The following is a 17,044-nucleotide window of genomic DNA, read 5'->3' on the forward strand; positions in this document are numbered from 1 at the left end:
AGTTCTGGGAAGGTGAGGGGCAGAACTGCACTGCAAGCAAAGGTTGTCTTATTATGTAGATAAAGTCTCAGATAACAACCCCAAGAAGAATAGTTGAACAGTCTGTCCAGTAGGCATGGTAATGACCTTTAGTTTCTTCTTTGGTGATTAATCTTTGCAGGTTACTGAGATTTCAGACAGGGGATTTAAGGCAATTGTGTTTCTTTTGGAAGAACTTTTCTCAGTCAGATAAGGAAACTTCAGAGAGCTTCCCTCTCTGTTCTTGGGGCAAGTGGAGGGGAGAAACAAAGGAATGTCAGAGAGACATTGATGTTAAGGAAGTTTCTAATGACTTACAATTTCCTTTAGTTCAAAGTGCTCAGAAAGCCAAAGCACCACATTTTGGGATATCGTTTTCTGAGCCCCAACACCAGTCTCACTATTAACACTGTGAGATCTACATTACCAAAGAGAGTTTTGTTCTCAGTGGTCTTGCTTGGGTACCAAATTTATGAAAATGTACTCCTGATGATGGAGTAAAATCATTGTTTATGGATTGGTAGTTTATGTTTATAGCATTTAGCTCTTGCCTATTTAAAGGTGTGCTGGCAGCTGAATAATCCAGGATGACCTTACCCACAAGTCTGGCAATTGGTTGACTCTCAGCTGGGTATCTTCGTTCCCCTCCTTATGATCTCTAATTTTCCAGCAGGCTAGTTCAGTCGGTTCCCATGTTGGTCTCAGTTCCAACTCAGCAAGAGAAGGCAAGACACAATGTACAAGAACCTTTCTTCCAGTGAAGTATTTGCTGTAGTTCCATTGGTCAAATCAAGTCATATTACCTAGCTCTCAGCTTCAAGGGGAAGGAGAAATGGCCTTCACAGCCATTTTTATAAGCTCTCATTTTATTCTACCAGACAGAATTGAGAACAGGTTAATGGTCTTTTTCACCTATGTAAAAAAAAGTTGAAAATTCCTTTCTAGAACATGACAAGTTGTAAATCTTGAAACATCTCTGATAAGAGCCAACGTACATGAGTTGTGTTTGCCTGTGAAATTAAAAAATAATGGAGAAAACCAACATGTTCTTATCTTGTATTTCTTCAAGAACACTCAATCATTGTAAAGCTAATATTGAATTAAATGAGTACCAAAAAAAAAAAACTGGAAAAGAAACTATGAGTTATAGATTTACTGAAAGCCTAACTCTGCTTTAATGTCCTCCTTAGCAAATACATATTTTAATATTATTGCATTTGTTTTTATCAGCCAATAAATGCTTCTCATTTAAGAAATCTTGAAGGGGAACCTATTAGATGCTAATGGTTTATACTAATACATATTACCATTTTATAAACTGTGTTTGTTTTTATCCAACCTGCCATTTTCTCCAAGAATTATCTCTTAAATACAATTAAGATGAAACAAAGATGATTAATATTAACAGTTGAAATGTGAATTCTAGGGAGGCAAAGATTTTTACCGTTTGATTTACCACTGTCTCTTAAGTGTCCAGAATATGCCTAGTAAGTATGGATATATATACTTTCTGAATCCCTCTGATTCAGCAGGATTTTATTAGATTATTTAAAATGAATATCTAGTATTTCTTTCTGATGACAAATGACAATAGCAATTTATTCAAATGAATTTCAGTGTGAAGACTAACTACTGGGATTTAGGGAGGTCAGTCACAAGACTCAAAATGCGATCAGGAAAGAGAGGACAGCTGCCTTAAAAAATATTTTCTATGAAGAAAGTATGGAAACTTACATTGAGGGTGAATTTAAGAAAAGAAAACATACCTGCAAATGCCAAAATAATGGGAGAGTTTTTTCCTTTGGGAAACAAATATGCTCAAATACTCAAAACTATTTATTAATGACCTTTATTTTCTATTCTGTTCCTTTTTCTTCCCTTCTCTTTTCTTTTTGTTTGATTTTAACAGATCCGTGGTGGAAAACTGATGATCTCCAATACCAGGAAAAGTGATGCAGGGATGTATACTTGTGTTGGTACCAATATGGTGGGAGAAAGGGACAGTGACCCAGCAGAGCTGACTGTCTTTGGTAAAACTTTCTTCTAAATTATAAATTTTTATTTTTATCAATTTTTCTTTGCTTTTAAGTATTACTAACATTAAAAACTGGGCCATATAAGGACAGTTACTCATGACTCATGGTAAGCAGTGACAAATTAGAATTATCTTGTTTTCTGTCTTTCTAATGAAAGCTTCGATGTAAAGAAAAAATTATTTGAAACTTTAATTAACTTACATTGTTCATGTATTTGTAAGATTTTGCAGTTCATCAAAATGTAACGTTCTTTCTCAAAGTCTATTTGAGATATTACATCTATCTAAAGTTTATCACTCATTCAACTCTCATGCATTTATCAGGTAGCTATTATGTGCAAGATACAGGGTAAGGATTTTTAAAAGTTAGAGAGTATAGTATAAAAAAACTTGTTTTCCAGTTCTTAGAAATTCAAACTGAAGTATTTATAATTTCAACTCTTGATAAATATACTATGTATGCACACATATAAATTCAAAATCAGAAAATGGACCCCTAAAATGAGATATTTTGTTATGATATTCATGTTCCTTCAACTTTAAGAACCAAGGCTCTCCTTAGCTGGTTAAATGCAATTAATAGGTTAAAAACTGACTAGAACCATATCATATAAATGGTGGATAAAGTATTGGAAAGGAGAAAACTGGGGACAAATAAAGATGGCCGAGGAAACAAATGTAAGGAAAATACTGCAGGGCAGCTGTGGAAGGTTGAAAGAGAGAGAAAATGACAAAAAATTGGAAAAAATAGATATGCTAAAGATACTCAAAAATGAAACACTCTTTTAGAATACATTCTATTTAAATTCTATTTAAATCTCTGTATAGACATACACATTTATAGACCCACACATGCACACACATACATGTACACATATGTATGTATGTGTATGTACATGTGTATATATACAATCTTCATTAAACATTTTACTATAGCAGATATTATGTGATTTTTTAGGAGCAAAAATATCATTGTGATTTTCAAATTATTTTTCAGTAGCGGTAAAATAATCCTCTACTTCTGTGCATGATTTAAAATCCCTATTTCTGGTCATTTCTTCAGGACACACCCAAGTGTGGCACCAAAGCCCTGCATAGGTCCCCAGAGAAACGTATTTTGCTGGCTTGGGAGACGCCATCCCAAGGTGTAATGGGAGTGCCACTATAGAAGAGCTGTATTATGACTTCCACTATATTTCAAGAGTTAAGATTGTGCTTTGTGCATGTGTACCAGAATGCAGGCCTCTCCTTTCAATCATTCTGAGCACCAGGTAATCTCTGGTAACACTCCCTGTGGCTACTAAGCAGCTTGAAGTCCCAAATGACAAAGCTAGGAGAAATCCCATAATTTGTTAAAGGAATTGAATAGAAAAAATAGAATTGTTCAAAGTATGCATGTAAATTTCTATCCTGCAGAGCTCAGACAAGTGTCAGTTTGCCCCTACATTTCATGCAGTCCTCTATAAGAGTCTCAAGATGTGCTCCACTCTGTAATGAATAAAACACAGTTTTGCCTGGTAAGAAATGATATTAGTGGTCACTGAACGTTAGCATTGAAAGCCCACAAGTATAGCTCTTCTATTTAAAGAAACACTCATTGCTATTTTTCTGTAACTACCACAAACTCTGGAATAGAAAGAAAAAAAAAAGCTATATTACTGCAGTATAGACTGCCTTCAGAAGGAAATTGAAAGGGTTTAATGTCATTACAGAAGCAATTAGACTTACCACTAATGAGACATCCTTATGAAATATTTACTCTACTTTCCCTAAAGAAATGATGAGAACTACTGGGGATTCCTAAACATGTCAAGAGTTATGTGGGAACTTCTAAATTATTTTGAAAATAGCTATTATCCAAATAGATTGAATTTGTCTAGAGGCAGTTCCCCTGGCAGAATTGATTTAGGAAACGGAGAATGTTTATTAGATGGTGTAAGCTAGTCAGAACTGACCTGAGGGGTTATAAGTACAAGATTAAGTTGAAGGAAAAACTAGCTTTCCATTATTGGTAAGAAAACAACATCCAAATCCAAAAGAAAAACAAAAAAAACAAAGTGATGGTCCAAATCAAGGATGTGACAAGTATTGCCCGAGAAACCCCTTCTGTATCTTGGCTCCCTATTCTTAGAGAACATAAAAGAAAAAAAAACAGTGTACTATTAATAGGGAGGTCTTCTTTATTTTATGCTGGTGCTCCTACATCTAATACACATTTTCCAATACAACTCTTTATATTTTAGCATTGTTACATATTATCATTTTTGACCAAATATTTATATAAGTAAAACTGATTGTACTTCATACTCTACCTCCCTCAATTTTATTTTCATGGAGCAGCAATTTCACTTTTAAAGGTCTAGCTACTATAACCACTCTGTAGCTACAGAAGGTTTTTAAAGGTCCTTTGCAGTTCAATCTTTATCTTAAGATATGTTTTACAGAACAAGTTACATTTTGTTGTTCAAAAAAATAAGTATATATATTATTATTATAAATATGATGTAAATATATTATATTTTATTGATACCTATTATTATTATAAATATAATAAAAATATATATAATAAAGTTACATTTAATTGTTCAAGAAATATAAGTCACTTGTAAATGTCAAGAAAAACAATGAAAGGAATAAAGGGTTTTTTCCAGTATAATAGCTGTCTACTTTCCGAGACATATTGCTAGGAAAAAGAATTTTCTGAATTCTTCAAGTATTTTGATTCTAGTGGGCTTGTACTTTGAAGTTGTATAGTTTAAAATTTCAGCATTATATATTTTAAATGTGCCATTTGATCATATCAAAGATATGATCGGTGTAACCTAACTTTAAAAAGTTACTGTGCCATACTCCATGAATCACATATTGTGGTTGATCTTCTAATAGTTTTTGGTCATGAAATAACATCCTAATTAACTGGGCATTATCAAATCTAAAAATTAGAAGTAGGTATCATAGTCTACAGTAGCACTGAAATCTGTGGCCCAATCTATACACCTTCCTGAAGTATAGTCCCTAGAAGTTTACATATGTTAAGCTCTGAAGATCCTGGATGGCAGAGAAAGTAGAGTTGAAGTAAATAATACAATTTCTAATTATGAGTAGATTTCAGAAAACTGCTGTCCAAAATTTGGGTTTTAAAAATGACATGTGGATTTCAAAAATGATTTTTAAGTGTTTATGAATGCAATACACGAAAACTTATTTTATGTGTAACATTTGTAAAATATAATAAGTATTACAAAACTTAGAATGAAATACAGGAATCTCTTGCCCCAACACAAACACACACACACACACACACACACACACACACACATATATTTCTCATCATTTTACGTTCTGTTTTATCTAATTATTCTGGGATTTGTTTCCATATTTCTGAATATGTGCTTAATCTGCTATTTATTGATGTATCAATTTCATACATTATTTGACTTCCTATTATAGAAGATGATGATTTGGCCCACTTATAGCTCCTTCCCCACCTTCTCACCTCCACTTTTCCTTCTTTTTCTCTTTTTAGTCTATGAACTTTCAAAACATTGGTTATATTAATATTCAGAATTTGAGTTATTATAGTCATGTCAATATTATTGACTGTGAGTTGAATGTTATAGTATTATGACCATATTTCTTTTCTGGTACTATTTTTGTTCTTCTTTGAATTAATAATAAACCCATTTTCCCATTTACTTATGCTTTCTATACCTGTCATGAATTCTTGAAATCTCTAACAGAAACTATAAAATCTTCTATAATCATTTTTTTAGACTTTAGCTATTAAGTCCCCTTCACTACAGTCTTCCCTGAGGCTGCCTGATCTGACTTGGTTAGACATTCCTTAGGTCAACACCGTAAACCTAATTCTGCTTTTGTCTTCCTTGTCTGGAATGCTGGATCTGCTGTTTTCTGCATCCTATGTTTGTTTCTTTCTTGGTTAACCCCTCTTTTCAGAAGGGGTTCTCAACTTCTTTCTGCTTGGCTGAAGCTTGGAGCACATTCTCAACCAAAATGCCTTCATTCTCTCCAGACCTTAGAGTTCTAGTTTAGAATTATACTTTAGTTAGGGAATTTGACTGAAATAATATTTTTGCTCAGAGTATTACAGTTGTGACTCTAACATCATTTAGCATCTCATGATGCTCTTGAGAAGTCTACTGTGATTCTGATTCCTGTATCCTGTATCTTTGTATGTGATCAGTTTTCTTTTTCTTTTTCTTTTCTTCCCAAATGTTTGGTGGTCTCTTTACCCCAGTTTTCTGAAATGGTTCAATACATTACCTTAGTTTGACACTCTTCTCTTTTCTGTGCTGTAAGTTGATGAGCAGTCTCAATCTGAAAACTCTCAAACAAAACAATTCAATGAAATGTTTAATTTTTTTAAATTTTTCTTTGTCAAACATGTTTTCATCAATTAGATTTTAAACCTCCTTGGTTTTTCTTTTCTCTAATTCCTCCTTACTTATAGCATCCTGTTCTTGTTTCATGGGTATTATGACTTCTCTTGTAGCAGAGAGTGTTGTTTTTGTAATTTGAATTTTGTTTTATTTTTTTACCAGCTTTTATTAAGCCCCAGGTCCATGTGCAGGATGTGTAGGTTTGTTACCTAGGTAAACTTGTGCCATGGTGGTTTGCTGCACAGATTAACCTATCACCTAGGTATTAGGTCCCACATCCATTAGCTATTCTTTCTGATGCTCTCCCTCACCATGCCCTTTTGACAGGCTCCAGTGTGTGTTGTTCCCCTGATGTGTTCATATGTTACCATTGTTCAGCTCCCACTTATAAGTAAGAACACGCAGTGTTTGGTTTTCTGTTTCTGCAGTAGTTTGCTAAGGATAATGGCTTCCAGCTCCATCTGTGTCCCTGCAAAGGACATGATCTGATTCCTTTTTATGACTGCATAGTATTCCATGGTGTATTTGTACCACATTTTCTTTATTCAGTCCATGATGGGCATTTGGGTTGATTCCATGTCTTTGCTATTGTGAATAGTGCTACAATGAACATACGTGTGCATATCTATCTATAATAGAATGATTTATATTCCTTTGGGTATCTACCCCGTAATAGTAATGGTATTTCTGGTTCTAGATCCTTGAGGAATCACCACACTGTCTTCCACAACAGTTGAACTAATTTACATTCCCACCAACTGTGTAAAAGCATTCCTATTTCTCTGCGACCTCACCAGCATCTGTTGTTACTTGACTTTTTAATAATTGCCATTCTGACTGGCATGAGATGGTATCTCACTGTGGTTTTGATTTGCATTTCTCTAATAATCAGTGATGTTGAACTTTTTTTCATATGTTTGTTAGCCACAGGAATGTCTTCTTTTGAGAAGTGTCTGTTCAGGCTCTTTGCCCACTTTTTAATGGGGTTGTTTGTTTTTTCTTGTAAATTTGTTTAAGTTCCTTGTACATCTGGATATTAGACCTTTGTCAGATGCTTAGATTGCAAATATTTTCTCCCGTTGTGTAGGTTGTCCGTTCACTCTGATAGTTTCTTTTGCTGTATCACAGAATTTTAATAACACTTTTTTTTAAGTAAAATTATCTTGTGATGCTTCTCTGCCTTTATTTCCTCTTAGTTTCTCTTCCCCACCATCCCCCACCACCATGGCTCCATACCACATTGTTCTTTGTCTTTTCGCTGGAAGCTTTTTTCAAATGGCACATGATCTATTGTTGTTAATTCATATTTAGTTGTTATTCTCCAAAAAGATTACTGGAAACTCTGTGCCAACTGATTATTTTCACAGTACGATGTTCAGATTGAGAACTAACCATTTTGGGGAAGATGAGGACAGAGATTGGGGTTGATGATACTGGTTTTCAGTCTTTGAATGAGAGATAATAGTTGATACCATGAGAGTAGTTGAGGTATTCAGAGATAACGCTATGAGAGAAGATCCTTAGGACCCACACCTTAAGAAGTATCTGTATTTTATTAGTAGCATGTGGTATAAGAACATGAGGTGTTATTAAGATTGTTGTCGGCAATATAATCCTTTCTTGAGTATATTTATTGAGCATCTGCTATGTCCCATGCCCTGTTTAAGTGCTTAAATACTAATGGTGGAATGAATAGGCAGAGCCCCTGCTCTCACCTGGACTCTTATATCATGTTATCAGCAATAACATGAAATTTTGCCTCTAATATGTGGTGAGAGAGGCATTATTTTCCTCTGAGAACATTTATTTATATTTGTCTTTACTTCATAGGATGAATTTTCTCAGGCAAGGAAAGTTCTAGCCAAAAAGAAACTAATGCAGTCAGGATTTATTTAATCACATTCAGACAGCCTGATCATTATCATTCAGTCTTTTTCTGGAAGGGCATGACAATTCACATTCAATGACTATCAAACCCATCCTTACCTCATACATGCCCAGTTAAATAAAAGGAGACCTACCAGGGCCATCTGACTTCCAATTTAATTGACACTACAGGGTGGCAGGTCTTTCTGGGTGAGCTGAAGTCAAGATAAGGTTTACAAGCAGTGGTTAACTCTAATGTCCTTTTATTACATAGCTTTGGTCTTACAGGACTTAAAGAACTCTACCTATGTAATTATTGCCATAACACTAATTTTATAATGTTAAGCGAAGTTTATTTTTAAAATTTTATGGTCATTTGAGAAATAGCTGTTACCACACAGTGATTGACAATTTTAAAGCCATTTTCAATGACTGAATACAGTTAAAAAGAGAAATTTGTTTGCTGGGCACTTAATTTTTTCATGTAACTAAGTAACTTAAGAGATACTATGCAACCACATTTCAGATTTATGGTATTTTGTGTTAAATTGTATATTTGCTTTCTGAATATTTTTGACATAACTACAAGAGACTTGGCATTTGATTTTATTATAGCTGTATATAAAGTTGGATTTTTCCAAAACGCCATTTTGGAACTAAATTGACAGGGCTGACTACTTGAGAGCCATACTTTACAGAAACACACTGGCAAACAACACTACTGTCCCAAGAGAGATTAACCTTGTAAGCAAGTTATGCAGGTGATTCAAATCCTGTTAATCTCACATAAAAAAATGTTAATTGCATTGGCAAAGACATTGCCTCTGATCACTCTGCAGTTATATAATTAGAGATCAGCCCATTCAGAGAGGCTCTGATCTAATTGATAAGCAGTCAGCAAACGACCCTTGAGATTTCTTCCCCGTTTTTCAATATGTGGTCAGACATAAGGTATTAACATGAAAAAATCAGTGACCTTGTTTTGACATGTTTTAAAATTAAGTTTGCTTGTTATTCAATAGTTTAAGATTTTCATGCATACTTATTTTAATTGTACAGAGCTCTAATTGTCCAAACTCTATGGAGCATTAATAGATATTGAGTGTGATCACTTATCAATGTATTGGATGGTTTTATTATCAACTTACTTTCTAATCCACCTAGCTTTTCATTTTTTTGGAGATGATTTTGAGTCAAAAGGGGAGACTCAAGTTACTTCCTTATAATTTTTAAAATTTGTGTCTGAAAGGGGCTTGGCTTTGTGTTTGGCTTATTGTAACGGTTGCCACTGCAGATCCAACGCATTTGAAATACATTTTTGGCCTGTACAACTTCTTTAGTCTTCATATTTATGTTTCTGATTCTCAGATTTTCTGGAAATAAAGTTGGTTAAGAAAAGTGGAAAATAGTTCTTACAAAAAATTTCTTCCATTTAAATAAATGTTAGGCAAACCTACAGTTTTTAACATAATGTTTTCTGTGGGTAATTATGAAAATTGCAAAGCAGAAGGTCAGTTTAGTATAATTAACAGAAAACAATTGGAATAATGAATAACACAGTTTAGAGATAATTGTTAGAAAGGGTGCTATGGAAATTCTCAGAATAATACTTTAAAATATGTGACCAAGCTCCAGTATCTCAGGAATTTCCCATGTCACATGTTGGACAGCACATCCTAATACCCAGGTATAAAACCCATGTTGATGTGTCATGTATGTGCAGGCGACTTTCATCTCATTTATTCTTTGCCTTTGTTTTGCTTTGATTTGTTTTTCTATCCATTGAATTACATTTTTCACCATGAGCCAATGTCAGACTTCCAAAAATTGTATACCACATATGCTCCTGTGGTTATCCAGTTGCTAAGCAACTGGACTCTGCTTGAGGGTAGCAGGGTAGAGAGAAGGTTCATTGTGAAGTCCTGCACCCCTGCTGAGTTCATTTGAACAGCAGCAGGGATCCTGTATCTTGATTCTTCTTGAAATTATAAATCAAGTGCCTCCACGTGTCTCCATATAAAACAATGAGGCTTAGAACAAGTACCATGACTAAAAAACCCTTAGGGATCCTAATGGTATCCCCTTGAGGAAGGGACAGCTTAGTTTTGAGACATCTCTGATGTAACGTTTGCCATTTGGATTAATTATATGTTGTGATTTTGTGACTGTTAGCATGTTAAGGAAAGCATACACAAACTTTGCCTGAAAATATAAGTATTTTAATGGAACTGGTCTCACATATTGTTTTTCAATTTATTTTATACCCAGCATAATGTCATGAAAACTTTTCATGTTAGATAGGTAGATAGTTTTAATATTGCAATGACTTAACAGTTTTTCAATGTATAAGTTTGCTGCAATGTATCCTAAAATCTCACATTTTCCAATATTGTCAGTTTTGCTGCAATTATCCTATGGACTTCTTAGTTTTGTTGCAGTTATCAATTATCGAAGCCACTGTTCTGCATTGTTATATTTTGCAGAGTGTCTGCAAGTAATGGTGGCTTTGGTTCTTCTTCAGGGCTCATATTTCCTTTTTCTTACTGATTTTTAATGTCGGCATGCCCGTCTTGTTCCGGACTTCAATGGGCATGACTTTTGTATTTTACTTTTTTTTTTTTTTTTTTTGGGACGGAGTCTCGCTCTGTCTCCCAGGCTGGAGTGCAGGGGCCCAATCTCGGCTCACTGCAAGCTCCGCCTCCCGGGTTCACACCATTCTCCTGCCTCAGCCTCCCGAGTAGCTGGGACTACAGGTGCCCGCCACCGCCCCAGCTAATTTTTAGTAGAGACGGGGTTTCACCGTGTTAGCCAGGATGGTCTCGATTTCCTGACCTCGTGATCTGCCCACCTCGGCCTCCGAAAGTGCTGGGATTACAGGCGTGAGCCACCACGCCCGGCCTGTATTTTACTTTTAAGAGAATTTTGGCATTTAATTTCTTGCAAAATATCTTCATCACGTTTAAAAAGTCTGTTTGATTCCTTCTTTATTTAGATGATTTGTAATTTGATAGCTATATCTACAGATTTGATCATATTTATCTTCATTTCTCTTCCTATTATATAAGTAACCTCCTTTATCTCATTGAAAATTTATTTGGCTTCAAGTAATATAAATCTGCCGAACAATGGCTTAGGCATAAGAGGTTCATTTTTCTCATTCTTACCATTTCTATGATGAAAGGAGCTTACACACACAAACTCACACACACATGCCCACACTCACACACAATCCATGTTTTACCTGCCAGTCTGTTTCAATTTGCTAAATGAAAAGTTGAGACATTTCCTTGAGTTTCCTTTTCACCCTATGCGTCTGACTGATCACCCAGTTTTGATCTCTCTTGTCTGTCCCCTTTTCGACATCCTATGAACCATTGTGTCAGTTTAAGCTGAAATAATTTCTTACAAGAACGCTTTGACCTAATTCACGACTTTATGTTTCTCTTCTAATTTATCTTTCACAGACATACCAACACGACCTTTTTCATATGCTTATTCAACAAGTTGCTTACTTGCTTAAAGTCCTTCAATAGCTCTCTATCAACCTCAGGGCAGAGCTCACAGTCCTTGAGTGGTGAACAGGGCCTTCATGGTCTTATCACTCACTCTCTGTCTAGCTTTGTCTCTCACCACTTTCCCCAATGTAACTAACCTGCTCACTATTCACCAGCTTGACCACTTAGTGAAAGCCTCTAGGAGTGGGTGCATTAACATGTGCTGAATGAGTCAGTGGATGAGAGAAAGACTTCTCTAGCTTGTTCATCCCAGTGTCAGGATGTAGTATGCTACTCCCACTAAAATCAAAGGGAACAGGAAAGGTCTCCTCTTGATGAATCATTTTTCAATCTGGAGTAATATCAATAGTGTCTCAAACCTCTTTAACATTGGGTTAATGTAGTTTTTGGATGAATAGCTGCGCCTGATAGCACAGAAGAAGTCGATCCCGCTTCCTATGTGAATGATTTATTTTTTACTATTAGCATTTGGGACCCTCATAAGGATATATTAATCCTATTGCCTATTTAACTACCAGAAATGATAGCTCAATACCAACTATGCCAGCCCCAAAATAGCTGTTTTGGGCACATAGTGTACAGAGTTGAAAAAAGTAACACTAAATTATTTTATCCGACATGTTGTCTACAGGGCACAATTTGCTGCTAATTTATTCAGGGCGTCTAAAATCTTTAGATGCAACCGTGTTTTTCTTTAGTTTTTATGGATCGTTTGTCAATTCTGCATTTACAAAATTTTTCATGATGAAATTCTATTTGTCTTGTTTTATTGCTTGGGATTTTTGAGTCCCAGAGTACGGATACTCTAGCATATGCAGAAAATTTTGATCCCTACTGTCAAATTCTCTGGAGATATACAATAGTCTTCCTTCTAAATGCCAATGGTAGTTGGTTTTATTGCAATAAAATATTTATCTTGCAACTTACACATTTGTTTTATAAATATGGATCTTGATTTAGTCAATAAAATCAAATACTCTTATTTATACTCTTAACATCTATTATTTGAAGTAATTTATTTTCTTTGAAGGTTTCCTGCCGAATACATTTTAGTTTTTGTGCCACTGTATACAAAATTTTAAATTAGAAGGTTTGAAACTCAAGTTCTAAGTGGCTAAATATGTCCAGATGGCCAGAAAAATTGTGTCAGCTTCCTACAGATCTCATCTTTCTTTTCCTTGGCTTAGTTCTCTTTCTACCTCAGTAAGTAGCAATATTGAATTTGTTTGTGATTTGCAGATATGGGCTAATAAAATTTAAATGACAATTTTTCCAGTCTCAGACCATTATCCAAAAGGGAAGAAACTGGACAAGGAATGCCAATGTCTGGTGATACATAAAACTACTTTTTGATTTGTATCCTCAGAGGCTAAGAATCTTATGGATAGGAAAAGATTTTTATGGATACAGACTTATTTTTCTCTAGCCTTATGTAGAAGAGTGCTAGAATACAATTTAACAGTGCCAAATACAGATTAATAAAAGAAGAAAGGATGAAAACAGTAAAACAGATTACTGAAGAAATAAAAAACATAAAATTAAGTAAAAAAAAATGGGTAGATATCTCAAACACTTAAGAGAAGACCATTGGAGAAAACCTCAAAAAATTGATAAATAAATAGTTTGCAACAATTAATAATGACAGTCTTTGTATTTAAGAAAAAAAATCAGGTAGACATCTTTCCATACATGAAGTTAAAATAATCATGGGAATATTGAGTCCTTATCAAATCATAGCTTAAGTGGGAAAATCTAGGTAATACATATGTGTGAAAGTACACATTTTTTGGTTTTCTCTAGCATTCTTGAGGAATATTAATATTTGTTTTTTAAATGTTTTTATCCCTTTCAACTTTTAGTTTTCCCACTTTGAACCCTGATAATAGATTATTGTAATCATTTTTAATCTCTCTTTTTCCTGTAGAATTCAGTGTTCTGATTTTTTATGATAGGATCCACCTGATTTAGCTCAGGGATTCACTGAAAAATCAATTTAATATTTTTTTCCAAAGGTTGTATGGTCTTATGTGCAAACTGTAGCTATTCCTTTGTTCCAAAATATCTTATTTTATTGAATGACATTGGATTCACAAGGCCTTATTAAAACACAGCTGAGGTACAGAGTTAGGTACCTGTGTACCAAAAGTAAATTAGGTTTCCTTTGCTTTTTTCATAATGTACTTAAAGCATGCATAATAGTTTATCTCATTTTACCATTGTTTCATTTTTTTTTTCAAGAACGACCCACATTTCTCAGGAGGCCAATTAACCAGGTGGTACTGGAGGAAGAAGCTGTAGAATTTCGTTGTCAAGTCCAAGGAGATCCTCAACCAACTGTGAGGTGGAAAAAGGATGATGCAGACTTGCCAAGAGGAAGGTAAGACCAACATATGGATGGAAGATTGTTAGATAACCAATGAATAATTAGAAAATAAAAGGACAGCTACAATGCCACCACCAAACACTCCTATGTCTTGGGGTACTTTCACTCATGTGATTTTTACATATGCAAGCCACATATTTACTGTTTGTATGTTAAAGTCCTCCAGGCTTTCAATGTCACTCTTTCAATGAGTATCTACATTAATGCTTGATTCTTCATTCCACCTCTTATCCCCAGATACCAAGGATTCCTGGGTGCCTTCTTTCCCCTGGACCCTTTGAGGTATACCATTCTGTTCCTGCAGAATGCCCCCTGCAGGCCTCCATCAATGACTGCCCGTTCCCATGCTTCATCCCCTCTGGATACCCTTTGTCACCTCTGTGGCCCAAAGCATAACTAACAAAAGACTATTGCATGTGGCTGACTGTAAGTCCTGGAGTAAAGGAAAGGTCAGCATAACACTGAAATGGTAGCAAGTAGTTGGCATCATTTTTCACATAGGGGATTTCCAACACAGAGACCTTCTGTCACTTTCTTTTTTCCATCTCTTCATGGAGACCTTCTCTTCCATCTCCTTCTTATTGTTCTTATCACAAAACCCCCAAACCCAATCTCTCAAACTCTAACCTGTATTCAAAAATGCTTTTCATCATATATAAAAATAATTTTGACTTGTTGTTATAGAAATTTCCTTAAGGCCTTGCCATTTAGAATGAAATAAGTAATTCAAGTGTTTTTTGTTGTTGTTGTTTTAACACAAGTAATTTTATCTTTAAGATTTGTTATGCCTTCCTGCTAGTTCTACCTGCTGATATTATAACCATCATGCATTCTCCAATTACTGCCTGCATAAAATTGTACAGGCTGTGTTTTTCTAATTTTTCTTTTTTTTAAAAAAAATTTTTTGGCTGGGCACGATGGCTGACTCCTGTAATCCCAACACTTTGGGAGGCCGAGGCAGGTGGATCATTTCATGTCAGGAGTTCAAGACCAGCCTGACAAACAGGGTGAAACCCTGTCTCTACTAAAAATACAAAAAGTTAGCTGAGTGTGGTGGCACATACCTGTAATCCCAGCTACTCGGGAGGCTGAGTCTGGAGAATTGCTTGAACCCGGGAGGCAGTGGTTGCAGTGAGTCAAGATCGTGCCACTGTACTCCAGCCTGGGCGACAGAGTGAGACTGTCTGAAAAAGAAAAAACAAAAAACAAACAAACAAAACAACAAAACAACTTCGTTTCTTTCAACTGACTGATATTAACCATGCTTCCTCCGAAGCTGTATACCTTTTATGTGCTTTCACTGCTATCAGTAATTTCCTAAATGTAAACATTCATTTCAAAATCTCAATTTTATAAATCCCTAGATATGATTGGATACTTTACTTCAAAAGGCATGTCACTCATGGATTGAATAAACTGGATTCAAATGCATCAACCATTTATAATAGTTACTGAGAGGTTCTTTACAATCTACAGGAATAAAACAAGTGAAAACATTAATTCAGTTAGTTTTTCAGCCTATGTAGTGGGGAAAGTCATCATTGTGTTTGTTTCATCATTTTAATGCCAGACATCTGTCTTTAAAGGAATGGTATTAGTAGAAGAGGTTTGTAAATGTGAGGCTTTTCATGCCCTCTCATTGGAGAAGCAGGTTAGAAAACAAGGAGAGTTTACACTATTGAATTGTTACTGTCCATCCTCTATATATAGTCAGCAACTTTCTTCAAATTTGAGAGCATGTAGTGAATAATTTTAAAATATTAATGTAAGGTGAAGAGATTAATTCTATAGTAAAATTTATCCTAGTGTAAACACAGGTTTATTTTAAATAACTGGGAGTATATGCCCTTGTGCATTGAAACTTTAAAAACCTTTAATTTTAGAATAATTTTGATTTATAGGAAAGTTACAAAAGTTAGTAACAGAGAGTTCCCATTTACACTACACCCAGTTTTCCTTATTGTTAATATCTTACATGACAATAAAACATTTGTTACAACTAATGAGCAAAGCTTGATAGGTAATAATTAAGTAAAGTGTATACATTATTTGGCTCTCCCAGGTTTTCATCATTGTCCTCTTTCTACTCCAAGTCCAGTTCAGGTAATTATTGGGTTGGGTATCATAGACTTCTGCATTTGTTCTCATATCTCTCCAGTCTCCTCCGTCCTGTTACAGGTCCTTAGTTTTTCTAGTTTTGTGACCTTAACAACCTTGAAGGGAAGTGCTGGCCAGGTATGCTATCGAATGTGCCCCAAACTTGGATTAGCCGGATTAGACTGCGTTTATAGGTTTTTAAAAAGAATACCTTAGAAATGACATGCTCTTCTTAGCACATTGTATCAGGGGGCACATTATATCCATATAACAGCACTGGCCACCCTGTTAATTTTCAAACACTGAGCACGAGCTAGTTGACAAAAGTATTAAAAATAGAGAATTGTAAGTGTGCATTGCATTTTAACATGTCTATGTTCCTGAATTAAGATAAAATAAAAATGAATTGAGCCTAGTTTGATTATTTCCAGCTTAATGTAGGTGTTAGGTCATAAACCTGACAACTTAAGCTGCTACACTGTTCTCTAAATCTTGCCAAATTCATTTGCTTCAAAGTACAAATGATACATATAAATCAAACAACAGCATTAAAGCTACACTATCAGAAGGTATGATATCAAGGCCACTAAACAACAAGGTTGAAAGCATGAGAAATCTTATTTTCACTAACTTCCTTTAAAACATTTTCATAGCTTTGGCCTCTTTATTCTTTTTACCAGCATATTATGGTAGTACTTTGTGTAACCAGTTAAATATTTTAAAAATATTA

The 17,044-nt window shown here is 34.9% G+C and overlaps 1 protein-coding gene across 41 annotated transcripts in view; it reads left to right on the forward strand.

The window, feature by feature from the left end:
- The window catches only part of ROBO2 (roundabout guidance receptor 2), a 1,743,290-nt gene that overhangs the window by 1,572,497 nt on the left and 153,749 nt on the right, over nt 1-17,044 (forward strand). For all 41 annotated transcript variants that reach the window (NM_001378191.1, NM_001378195.1, NM_001378196.1 and 38 more), the window contains 2 exons: nt 1,928-2,048; nt 14,073-14,211. In NM_001378191.1, the coding sequence (NP_001365120.1) occupies nt 1,928-2,048; nt 14,073-14,211 (260 nt within the window). The remainder of the gene's footprint in view (nt 1-1,927; nt 2,049-14,072; nt 14,212-17,044) is intronic.

The sequence above is a fragment of the Homo sapiens genome, chromosome 3 (genome assembly GCF_000001405.40).
Source record: "Homo sapiens chromosome 3, GRCh38.p14 Primary Assembly".
Taxonomy (NCBI): domain Eukaryota; kingdom Metazoa; phylum Chordata; class Mammalia; order Primates; family Hominidae; genus Homo; species Homo sapiens.